Raw genomic sequence first — 13,623 nt, forward strand, 5'->3', positions numbered from 1 at the left:
CATATTTTAACAATACATAAAGTATACTTATTGTTAAATCTGTAACATTGATGTCCTTAATTTTCTGGCACCCTAGATAATGGCAATTGAAGACTGAGTTATTTCTAAATCTTTTTTCAAGAAGAGATATTTTACAATTAATTGTCTCTCTCAAAAGTATATATATGCACATTCAGGCTGCTGTAATACCTTCCCATCTCTGCATATTTATATAAATTTAAAACTGTGCAATTTCTCCATTATATAAGTAATGGAAAGGTTTTTGTTTAACTTTGTTTATATGTATAGGAAGCAGTGAGAGAAAATTCAAAACTGTGCAATGTCTCTATTATATAAGTAATGGAAAGGTTTCCATTTAACTTTGTTTATATGTATAGGAAGCAGTGAGAGAAAACAATAAGAGAAGAGAAATGGAAGAGAAGACCAGGAGGGCAAAACTTGCAAAAGAGAAAGCTGAACAAGAAAAGTTAGAACGCCAGAAGAAAAAGAAACAACTCATTGATATAAACAAAGGTATGAAAATATTTCCAATTTTTACAAAAATGCAAGAAGTACAAAATAATTGCAGTTATTTATTTTTGGATTATAAAGTAAATTTTCATAGAAAATTCACAATAGTATTAGTTACTTGTGCTAAATTTCTCTCATGATGCTATGTGTGGTTTCCTATCTCCCTACGCTGAGCATTCAGGATTTTTGATAACCAATGCAAGATGATATTTTGTTGAGATAGTGTTTTTCTCCCTACTTTTCTTGCCATAGTATATTATATTCTGGATGAGGCAGTGGGGAGGGAAAAAGTGGGTGAGATGAAATGTGAAAAACGGGTATGGGGAGATAAGCCTTAGCTTTTAACTTCATTTTGTTGGCACATGTCTGTTGGCAGTGCAGTAACAGTTAACAGTCTTCCTTGGAAGCTTGAACATTTTAAGTCCTAAGAAATATTGACAGCACTATTACAAGTTGAATAAAATAGGGAAAGGCATCTTGCACAGCTATAAACCTAAGTACAAGATGCTGGCATGTCCATATAGTTTAAAGTAAGTTGTTTGAGGCCGGGCACAGTGGCTTATGCCTGTAATCCCAGTACTTTGGGAGACCGAGGCGGGAGGGTCGCTTGAGGTGAGGAGTTCAAGACCAGCCTGCGCAACATGGTGAAACCCATCTCTACAAAAAATACAAAAATTAGCCAGGCATGGTGGCAGGCGCCTGTAATCCCAGCTGCCCAGGAGGCTGAGGTGAGAGAATTGCTTGAAACTGGGGGGCGGAGGCTACAGTGATCCAAGATCATGCCACTGCACTCCAGCCTAGGCAACAGAGCGAGACTGTATCTCAAAAAATAAATAAATAAATAAATAAATAAATAAATAAAGTTGTTTTATTGGTTAGCAAGAGTGACTGTATATTGTTGGTGAGTTGTTTGGTTTGGTTGGTTTACTTTCTAAAGAAGAGAGGGCAAAAAAAGAAAGTGATTGGTATCAGGTATCTGCACACTGAAAATTTAGGAATAAAAAAAGCATGCATAGTCTTTGTCACCTGAGGTTTAGAGAATTTAGGAACAAAACAAAACAAAATCTGAATAAGATACAAGGTAATATGATTAATATGGACCATGTATTACTGAAGATAACAATAGTAAAAATTGCAAGCACTCTATAATATTGACCACATGCCAAGCATGGTTGTAAGACTTTTACGTATTTATTTATTTATTTTTTTGAGTCAGAGTCTAGCTCTGTCGCCCAAGCTGGAGTGCAGTGGCTTGATCTCGGCTCACTGCAACCTCTGCCTCCTGGGTTCAAGCAATTCTCCTGCCTCAGCCTCCCGAGTAGCTGGGATTACAGGTGCCTGCTACCATGCCCAGCTAATTTTTGTATTTTTAGTAGAGACAGGGTTTCACTGTGTTGACCAGGCTGGTCTCGAACTCCTGACCTCGTGATCCACCCACCTCGGCCTCCCAAAGTGCTGGGATTACAAGCGTGAGCCACTGCACCCGGCACTTTTACATATTTTAAGTCAATCCTCACACCATCTCTATGAGGTAGGTACTATTATCATCTCATTTTACAGATAGAAAACTGAGGCTCATAGAAATTAAGGAACTTGGCCAAGGTCACACAAACAGGAAGTACTAGCACCAAGATTAGAATCCAAGTCGTCTCACTATAGAATCTTTCCATTTACCTATGCCACTGTCAGGAGAAAATGATAACAACAACAACTAACATATAGCACTTGCTATTTACCAAGAACTATTCTAGGAATTTTACATTTAGGAACCAATTTAATCCTCATAGAACCCTATTAGGAAAGTACTACTATCTCATTTTAAAATGACAAAACTGAGGCACAGAGAAGTTAAGTAACTTGCCCAAGGTCACAATGATAGTGAGAGGTAGAACCAAGATTTGAACCCAGGCAGTGTGTAACCAGAGTTAATTATTATTATGTGTTTTTAAGTGTAATTATTAATTATAACAATCATTATCAAGTATTTTGCAGTAATGTCTTAATGGCTAATCTTCTAAAGTAATATCCGTACTGTTAAGTTTAGTCTTTGTACTTTTAAAATATATAAACATTTTCAGGAATTGACTATAGTTTATATCTTCCACCCAGGAAACAAATATAACATTTTAACAGAAGAAAAAAAGTAATATTATGTAAAAAGCTGTGTTAAAATAGAATAGTATCAACATAATTTAGCAAACGAACTTCATAATTAGAATCAGGAAAACTGGTCATGACTGAGGTCACTCTATCAGGAGGTAAGCACTAGAGTACAGCATGGCAATATGTGTTTATAGGAAGTTATCATTGAAAAGGTGAAGAAGTCAGTAGAAAAGTTCTGAAAGTGGCTGGGCATGGTGGCTCACGCCTGTAATCCCAGCACTTTGGGAGGCTAAGGTGGGTGGATCACGAGGTCAAGAGTTCGAGACCAACCTGGCTAATATGGTGAAACACCGTCTCTACTAAAAATACAAAAATTAGCCAGGCGTGGTGGTGCGCACCTGTAGTCCCAGCTACTCGGGAGGCTGAGGCAGAAGAATCGCTTGAACCCAGGAGGTGGAAGTTGCAGTGAGCCGAGATCTCACCACTGCACTCCAGCCTGGGTGACAGAGTGAGACTCTGTCTCAAAATAAAAAAAAAAAGAAAAGTTCTGAAAGTTAGCTCCTTTATGTGCAGGGAGGAGTAGTCGGAGAAGAGGCCAGAAGAGATAGTAGGGGACAGGGGACAGATTGTGAGCTCTCTTTCTTTCTTTTTTTTTTTTTTTTAATTATACTTTAAGTTCTGGAGTACACTTGTAGAATGTGCAGTTTTGTTACATAGGTATACACGTGCCATGGTAGTTTGCTGCACCCATCAACCCATCATCTATTTCTCCTAATGGTATCTTTCTTTCTTTTCTGCTATGCCAAGGGTCTTAATGCTGAAAGCTATGGGAAGCCCATGAATGTTTATAAACTGGAAAATGATGTACATAGTCAGGATTCTTAGATCATTTTGTTTTTGTTTTGTTTTGTTTTTTTGTTTTTGTTTTGTTTTTGTTTGAGACAGGGTCTCACTCTGTCACCCATGATGGAGTGCAGTGCCATGATCTCAGCTCACTGTAACCTCCCAGCCAGAAAGGTCATTTTGACAGAAGCAGAAAGAATGTATTAGAAGGGGAAAGCCCTAAGAAAATAGAGGTTATGAGGATATTGTCATAGTCCTGACAAGAGATGATGGTGGCCTGAACTAATACAGTGACAGTGAGATTTAAAAAGCAACAAGAGGTGTATTAGTCAGAGTTCTTTTGAGAAACAGAACTAGTAAGATGTGTGTGTACACAAACACATATACACACACAGATTTATTTTATGGAATTGGCTCAAGTGATTATAGAAGCTGGCAAGTTTAAAATCTGCAAGGCAGGAGGACAGGCTAGAGACCCAGAGGAAAGCCAATGTTACAGTTCAAGTCTGAAAACTATCTGCTGCAGAATTCTCTCTTGCTTGGGGGATGTCGGTGTTTTTGTTCTAGTCAGGCCCTCAACTGATTGGATGAGGCCCACTCACATCATGAGGTACAAACCGCTTTACCCAAAGTTCACTGATTTAAATGTTGATCTCATCCAAAAACACCCTCACAGAAACTACCAAAATAATGTTTGACCAAATATCTGGACATTGTGGCCCAGCCAAGTTGACATATAAAATTAACGATCATGAGAGGGTGTTAAAGGACAGAATTGACAGGTGCTGATGATTGATTGGATGTGTAAATCAAAGGAGGCAAGTGTTAAAGAAGATGGTATGCTTCACAGAGAAAGCAAACTCAGGAATAGAGCACATTTTCTCAGGAGAGTTACAATGACTAATATCATTTTAAACATGTTTAGTTCCACCTTGTAAAGATGGAAAATGTCTAAGAAGCCATTGTATATGTGATTGTGAAACTCAGGAAAGAAGTCTAAACTAACCATATCGGCTTGGGGATCATTGGTTTTTATTTGAACATTAAAGTTACAGTGTACTAGTTTGCCAGGGCTGCCATAAGAAAATGCCACAAGCTAAGTAGCTTAGAACAACAGATACATGTTGTCTGACAGTTCTGGAGGCTAGAAGTCCAAGATCAAGGTGTCAGCAGGGTCATGCTCCTTTTGAAGAGTCTACGGTAGGATCTGTGTCAGACCTCTCTCCTAGATTCTAGTAGTTTTCTGCTTTGTCACAGCATAACTTCAACCTTCAAATGGCATTCTCCCTGTGTGCATATCTGTCTTTTCACATGGTGTTTATTTTATAAAAATACCAGTGATATTGAATTAAAGGCCCACCCTACTTTATTTTATTTCTTTAGAGATGGAGTCTCACTCTGTCACCCAGGCTGGAATACAGAGATGTGATCATAGCTCACTGCAGCCTCAAACTCCTAGGCAGAAGCAATCCTCCTCCCTCAGCCTCCCATGTAGCTGGGAATATAGGTGTATGCTAACATGCCCAGCTGCTCTTAGTTACTGTTTTTTTTTCCTAAAATAAATATTTTAGAACAATCACCTCTTAATTACATAGTTCAACTTATAGCATGTGTGTTTGAATGGGATCACCACGGTAAAGTATAAATCAGAGGTTCTGAAACTATTTGATCTCAGAACCCATTTACACTAAAAATCATTGAGGACCCCAAATGCCTTTTGTTTATCTAAGTTGTTTATATTGACATTTATCATCTTAGAGTTGAAACTGAGATAATTTTAAAATTATCGATTGATTCAATTAAAATAACAATAGTAAACCTTTTCATGTTAAAATAAATAACCTTTTAAATGAAAACTACCTATATTTTCCAAAACAAAAAAAGAATTAGAAGAGAAAAAGAATAATGTCATAAATCTCTTCACAGTCTGACTTAATAAGACAGCTTGATTCTCATACCTACTTTTCTATTCAATCTGATTCAATATCATTCTTCATGTAACTTCTGGAAAACTTCACGATACACTCAGGAAAGAATGAGAAATAGAAAGGCAAAAAAGTGTCAGTATTATTATGAAAATAGTTTTCACCTTGCAAATCCCTGAAATGATCTTTCGGGGCCTCCAGGAGTCCCCCGCCACACTCCAGCATTGCTGGAGTGAACAATGAAAAGAGTAAGTGGTTAAAAATGGAGCCTATCGGCCGAGTGCAGAGGCTCACACCTGTAATCCCAGCACTTTGGGTGGCCTAGGCGGGTGGATCATGAGGTCAGGAGTTCAAGACCAGCCTGGCCAAGATGGTGAAACCCCGTCTCTACTAAAAATACAAAAATTAGCTGGGCATGGTGGCAGGTGCCTGTAATCCCAGCTACTCGGGAGGCTGAGGCAGAGAATTGCTTGAACCCGGGGGGCAGAAGTTGCAGTGAGCCGAGATCACGCCACTGCACTCCAGCCTGGGCTACAGAGCGAGACTCTGTCTCAAAAAAAAAAAAAAAAAAAAAGGAGCCTATCCAGTTTTGTTCTGAGAATGTAATCTTTCTCCCACACTACAGCAATTCCTACGCTCCTCCAAGTGTTTATTAACCTTTCACTGTTCTCCTAAAAATGTGTCTATAACAGACAAAGAAAGAAGGGCTTATTTTGATTGTGTCTAGTTGTTATAGGACCAACAAGTTTGTATGCCTGCTGCACAGTAACAGACCAATACCCTGAGACAACTGGGATGCAGCAGAGAAAGACATTAATGATTGCAGGGCACCAAGCAAAGAGATGGGAGGAGACCCTCAAATCCATCCCCTCAAGGAGTTCTGGGCTGGGATGTTTAAGTGGATCTCGGAGAGTAGGGGGCTGGAAAATTGGAGTCATTGATTGACCAGGGCAAGGGGGATGAAATCATCAGGATGTGGAAACTGCATTCTTTGGTGAGTCAGCTTCTTGTGGGATCCTTCAGACCAGCTGACATCAGTAGTTTCATTGGTACACAGCACTGAAAGAATAGCTCCAATGGAAAACTTAATGTTTTATAATGTTCAAGTTGTTATCTACACAGCAGTTAAGGGGAACTATAATCTTGTAACAGGGTCTGTGTGATTTTGAAGCAATAAGTACCGAACAACTATGAGGAAGCAGGTCAAGCCGGTCAGAGAGCAAGCTGACTTAATGATTAACACTGAATCACTGAATGTACCACAAGCTTGGTTTATCTTTTTCCCTGCTTTCTGTCTTTTTTTTTTTTTTTTTTTTTTTTTTTTTGAGACAGGGTCTCACTCTGTTGCCAAGACTGGAGTGCAGTGGCGCAGTCTTGTCTCGCTACAGTCTCTGCCTCCCGGGCTCAAACGATCCTCCCACGTCAGCCTCCCCAGTAACTGGGAATATAGGCACACACCACCATGCCCAGCTAATTTTTGTATTTTTTGTAGGTGTGTGGTTTCGCCATGTTGCCCAGGCTGGTCTTGAACTCCTGAGATTAAGCGATCTGCCTTGGCCTCCCAAAGTACTGGGATTATAGGCGTGAGCTACTGTGCCTGGCCTATTTTCTTTTCTTTTCTTTTCTTTTCTTTTTTTTGAGATGGAGTCTTGCTCTGTTATCAAGGCTGGAGTGCAGTGATGCAATCTCAGCTCACTACAACCTCTGCCTCCTGGGTTCAAGTGATTCTCCTGCCTCAGCCTCCCAAGTAGCTGGGATTACAGGCATGAGCCACCACGCCCGGCCTTGGCCTATTTTCATTTCTTTCTCTCCTTTCTTCCCTGATTAATTTTTAAATTTTTATAGGGATGGTTTCATAGTCTGTATGTATTTTCATTTGCTAATATTTAGTTAATTACCTTTTCAAATGTCATTGAGACCGTAAGATAAATATCCAAATAAGTTTTTATGCATATGCTCAGCTGAGTGATTTGAGCATGAAAAATAAATTTTTAAAAATTGGATTTATTTTTTATGTTTTAGTACCATAGCTCTATTTACGTATCAGTCAAATAGTAAACTACTGTTACCTTCTTGACTCATGGCCCATGTGTTACAAATATTATTATTATTTATTGTAATGTTACTTTATACTTGGACTATATGTGCCTTTGTACTTATAAATATGTTTCAAAAACAGATCCTTCCATTGCAAGTGTGTAGTTTTAATTATGAAAATGAAAAGATGCAGGAAAGAAAGAGTAAGAATAATAGAGTTGGGTGTCTGTCAAGATGGAGCTCACTGTCTGAGTTTCTCAGAGAGTGTCTTATGAAAGATGCTCTTATCAACTAGATGGAAGGCAGTTGTGAGCCTTCTGAGAGCTGGGAGGAATCATGATGGAGACATATCATATGTGAATCCATGGGGCGTGAAAGCCTATGGAAGATGTGAGTGAAGTGTCATCAGAAAGTGATTTATATAACTTTAAATATGTCCAATTAGAACATTGTAATCTTCTCTTCCACCGAAAGAGAGATGATATAGAACATTTCATTGCCATTGCGAGGTATGTAATATATAGTACATAGAGGTATTTCATGCATGGGACCAAAGATACATACCATTGGAACCATAGGATCTTACCTGTAACAAAAGTAGAGAGTTCCCTGGATAAAGTAAGTCACATTGGAAATTACAAATAACTTTTTAAAAAAGTGTACACTTTCCGTAAAGCTTCTATTTCCTATCAATGTAGCAAAGGACAAACACTTCTCCCCCAACCTTTTTTTTTTAACACATCTATTGCTTAGTAGATGTAACTTAGCAAAAGTAAGGTATCTTTATGTGGCATGCAAAATTATATACATTCATCAAGGAGAAATATTTGAGGATTTAATTATTCAGAAAAATAATAGTATAAAGCAAACACAAAGATTATTTCTGTAATCTACATTTGATCAACTGAGCTCAGAATTAAGTAATGATATCATGAAAACCAAGCAGCCAGAGAATTATATCTTTCAAGTTAAATCCATAAAAAAATACCATGTACCAAGGCTATATTTTGAGAGATTTGGAGATCAGAAGGCAAATGCCATGATAAGAAACAGTTTTTTTAATTGTAAAGGAGAAAATAGATATGATTAAATATTAAAGAGACAGGCATTTTATAAACATTAAGTGGTATTACTAAAAATTTAAATTCTGTGTGTTCAGAAGTGAAGATCAGTCTTAGCTCTGCTACCTAGCTTTATGACCTAGTTCTGTTGCCTTATCTCTTCATGCCTCAGTTACCTCATGTGTAATATAGGATAATGACATTCACCTCTTATAGTTTTAGTGAAGATTAAGTGAGATAATTAAGTACAGTACAAAACACAGGACCTAGAATATACTTGCTGCTGCTGACACGATGAAAGAGTCATTTTTATGCTTCTTGAAGAATCTAGTAAAAACTCAAGAAATAGTCTCCACCCTTAAGAAGTTTTCATTTTTGTCAGAGAAATAAAATAAAGGTGACCTAGCAAACATTAAACTGTGTGCTGATACATAATAGAGATTATTTGCTCTTTAACTCTATCTAAAAAGGGAAATCAGTGAGGTCTGGTAAAATTACATAAAGTTTCATGGAGAAGGCTAAATACAGCCTCTGAACATACCAGTCAAGCTAGACCCTGAAGGATGGGTAACATTTGGCTGAGCAGAGGTGAAACTATCCAAGTAAAAGGGAATAACATCAGCAGTAGTGCACGTCAGCACATAAGGCAGCATGCTTTATGTAGGATATGTGTATAGCCCACAGGAAAATACATCAAAACGATTAAGAGAATGGGTCCTAAGTTCAAGTCCCAGCACCACAGTTTGCTAGCCATATAATCTCTGACAAGGTGTTTCATCTTTCTGTGCCTCAATTTTTTCTTCTGTAAAACCAGAGACTGGTGTTATTTATACTGTAGTCTGTTTATTGATTATACGTTAATGGCATTTGGCCTATTACCAGTCCCTGATAGTTAAATGTTCAGTCAGTATTTTCTGTTGGTGTCGTTTTAGTGAAGGGTTTGATTTGGAAAATTGTTGGAAAGGTAGGATGGAGCCGGGCTGTGAAAGAGCCTTCCAAGTCAGGCAGGGGAGTTGTGGCATGATGAGGTAGGAGAGCTAAGGTCATTATGGGAATTCATTTAGGGATTTTCAAGAAGTAAGCCAGAAGCACAAGAAAGGAGAGGAGACTACAAGGAGGATGTAGCTGGAAAAGAACAGTGAAAGGTGATGAAAAGGGAGTGAGCTCATACCTGATTCTCTCTTCAAAGGAGTTTAAACCTGAAGCAGTTTGAGAAGATGGTAACAGGAAGGAAAAAATTTCATAAAGGAGATTTTAAAAGCAGTTGGAAGTTGCAAGCAACAGATTGACTGATGAGCAAGAGACATCTTTTTAAAAGAACAGCACAGTTTTACCAGTAGATAATTATATATTGATATATTTTGGCACATTAGGCTATTTGATCCATCCAATCAACGTTTATTGCACCATTTTCCAAATAATTATAATTAGAGCATGCACAGTAATATACCACTTATTTAAATGTAAAATTGAGAAAGCTAATTTAAATGCAACAAAAATATGCTAAGTCAACAAATGTACTCTAAAATGCGTGCAACAGTATGCAAACTATGTAAAGTACTTGGTCTAATCTATGTTCTCCAATGTTTGGCTATATTGATATAGAGGATAATTATGTTAGGGACCACTAAAAAAAAGATTAATTAGTTCTGTAGGTAGAAGAGAAAAAGCTTACCAAATATTTGTAAATAAATCTCTTTCTTTTCATGTTTATGGAAGTCAGCAAATTAACTGCAAAATCTTAGAGGAAGCAATAGGAAAAAGTATGTTAAAATGGGTATTTTGAAATTGCAAACTATAAGCATGATTCTTATGCAAATATTAATTTAATCAGGAAGAGTTTTACTCCTCCTTGTATAAGATTATATGGAAATCAGAATTGCCTGTTTACTTCTAGTGTCATGATAAAGAATGAGGTACCTTAGATTTGATGAAAAATCAGTCTTCAGAGAGTTGATGAGCAGTTTTGCCAAATAAACCTAAACATTTAAACTCTGGTTGATAGCAATTTTGTTTTTATCTGTTTTCCTAGTTGTAAAATAATTACATCTTATAAGTGAATAAACTCATTTCACATTATATTATTTTGATCTGAATAGGTCAATTTATGTTTCTTACTGTCATACCCCAGACATTAAATTATAGTCACCAAAATTATAGATTAGAAAACTCACAAATAATGGAATTGATTCAAGTAGCAGTAAATCACCTCCAATAATATAAATTAATGAGGCAATATCGGTACTATCGTTCCGGCATATTTTTACAACTGCTAATAAACAGCTCATAGATGCTAATACAAAGTAAAACAAGTTTGTATGCTTGGTGGACCTAGAAAACAGTCTTTGGCCTAGCAAAGCCTTACCTATGAAGAGAAAAAGTGTATCTGGCTGATACTATGTTTACTTTAAGTTACCTAGTTTCCTACCTTAGCAAAGATTTCAAGAAATCTATGTTTATATAAAGATCAGAATTTTTTTCTCTTTGTTCTCTAGATTTGATTTTTCAGTGAAAATTTGGGTTTTGTTTCCCCAGATAAAATTATTCAGTACAGTAAAGACTTACCCAGGTCTTTGGAGCTTCTCACACATTAAGATGTTTAGTATGAATTCGTGACTTTGTTATTTTAATGAAATATCTTTAGGTCCATGTTAAGGCAATATCGTGTCATGCTGCTGCCATTCAGTCAACATTTGTTGAATTTCTAAGTTCAAGCATTGGGATAAAAGATATTGAGATGCAAAGAGGAGGAGCTCCCATTGTAGCAATCATCAAATGATAAACCACACCCTGCTGGTTGAATCTGCTGATCCCCAGTGACATGTAATCTGTCAGATCTCTCCATCATTGGTTTAGCCTGTGATTGAAATGAGTTTACCCCTCTTGCCTTTGGAGCCAGACAAAACCAGTTCACATCATGGCCCTGCTCCCTACATGGTGTATCCTTGAACAACTCATCTAACCTCTCTGATCCTCGAGGACAGAGAAAACAACAGCATCAACCTCGTAGGATTTTCATAAGAAGTAAATGAGAGGATACATGTAAATCTCTTAGTACTTGCCTGGCACATGGTTAGCATGTAATAAGTGTTAAATGTTATCCCTTTGATAATAATAATTATTTAGTGAACATATCAAGGAAAATTATCAATGGCAATAATCATTACAATAAGATCTTGATTGACTAGCCTAAAAGAAGTGGAGTTTTGATTAATCTGACTTTATAATTATATAGAAAGCTGTTTATGCATCAGTCTTTATCATCTGAAATCTTTCTCAACTCTTTGTACAACTCTCCTCGCACTCTCCCAACCACCTCCGCCCACAAAAAAATTTTGGCTTTACATGTTACACAGGTGAAAATGTGCAGCAGCATGTGGCACATAGATATAATTTTGGACATGTAGCCAGCACACAATATACATTTACTGGTAGATCATTAGGATTTCGTTATTGTCTCTGGGCCATTATTCAGAGCATCAGTGATCAGTATACACTAGCATTGGAGCATGTGCTTTATCTGTACTATTTCCAGAATACACTCTAGATTAATTGAAGATTCTAGTTATTTTTTCCTGTAGCCTATTTGAGCCACTTATCACTAGTAATTTTTTTTTTCTGACCCCATACTAAAATAATTACATTTCTGGCTTCAGTTCTCGGGAAATAAGTGCTAAACTCTCATTCTATCTGCCTTAGCAGTAAAACAAATTTCTACATCTACTAAAAATATTCTTTTAAATGAGAGACAAAAATAAATATGTGAAACAAGATAGGTAATATACTTTAGATCTCATTAAGAGTTCTTACATTCTAAATGCAGAAACTCAGATTTGCAAAAACTGTAAGAGCTGTCTTCAGTGTGCTGAACATTTAACAAGATTTCATCAATTTGTATGTAGAAGATGAGTAACACTGGCAGTTACAAATTTGGCTTTTCTCTACAATATATGCTTGTTGCTATATATGATTTATGCAACTTTACTAGGCAGAAATCTATGAAAATATTAGAGCAGGTAAGTGAAAACAATAAAACTGACTATATAAGAAATTACCAAAACACATTGTAGGTGGCCTAATCATTTATTAAAAACATGCTTTGTTCCATATTTTAATATTCTAATTCTTATTACAGAAAAGTGTCAAATGAATAACAGCTGTTATACAGCAACATTGCAATTAATTTTGCTCTGTTCTCAGTCAAATGCACTTAGATTCATGTCAGTAATTACACCTAACAGATTCACAGAACCAACAAACTGCACTGAACCCAACTGAGTCTCTAATGACTTTTTTTTAAATTATATTTGGTCCACCCACATTGAATTCCCGAGCCCCTGGGCTGCTTTAGAATCAGGACAAAATCTACTGTTACACTTGGCCGGGCGCAGTGGCTCACACCTGTAATCCCGGCACTTTGGGAGGCTGAGGCGGGCAGATCATCTGAGGTCAGGAGTTCGAGACCAGCCTGGCCAACATGGTGAAACCCCGTCTCTACTAAAACTACAAAAATTAGCTGGGTATGGTGGCGGATGCCTGTAATCCCAGCTACTCGAGAGGCTGAGGCAGGAGAATTGCTTGAACCCGGGTACTCCAGTCTGGGCGACAGAGTGAGACTCTGTCTAAAAAAAATAAATAAATAAATTCCGTTGTTACACTGAATGTGCAAAAGGATTATGGACAAAAACCTTTCAGTGATTGTTAATTTAATTCCACAAGTATTTATTCAGTGCCTACAGTGTGCTGATCTGTGGTGACATATCCTAATCAAAGTATGATTGACTGATAACTTAGCACTATTAACCTATTTCAGGGGTTATTAACTATCAGCCTTTCTCCCTCTCTTATGTGTGTCTGTTCTGTAAGAAATAATGGTTGTTGCTTCATGTAGTCCCATAGGTGTATGTATATACTCACACAGGACCGTATGTAGCATATAATATTTTTCACATATCATATATAATCTCTTAAAATCATCTATATTTCTTTTTTTATAAATAGTCAATCCTCAGTCCTCTGTTACACCCCTCACACATGAACAACCTATAAAGTATATAGTATCTTAACTTGTTAGTGGGATAAAATGGAAAAGAAGACATCGTTTAAGAAAGCAATTATACCTTTGTCACAATGGTATTAGGAAG

The 13,623-nt window shown here is 37.1% G+C and overlaps 1 protein-coding gene across 2 annotated transcripts in view; it reads left to right on the forward strand.

The window, feature by feature from the left end:
- The window catches only part of DIAPH2 (diaphanous related formin 2), a 920,156-nt gene that overhangs the window by 698,690 nt on the left and 207,843 nt on the right, over positions 1-13,623 (forward strand). For both annotated transcript variants that reach the window (NM_006729.5, NM_007309.4), the window contains exon 25: positions 378-513. In NM_006729.5, the coding sequence (NP_006720.1) occupies positions 378-513 (136 nt within the window). The remainder of the gene's footprint in view (positions 1-377; positions 514-13,623) is intronic.

The sequence above is a fragment of the Homo sapiens genome, chromosome X, assembly GCF_000001405.40.
Source record: "Homo sapiens chromosome X, GRCh38.p14 Primary Assembly".
NCBI classification, from domain to species: Eukaryota; Metazoa; Chordata; class Mammalia; order Primates; family Hominidae; genus Homo; species Homo sapiens.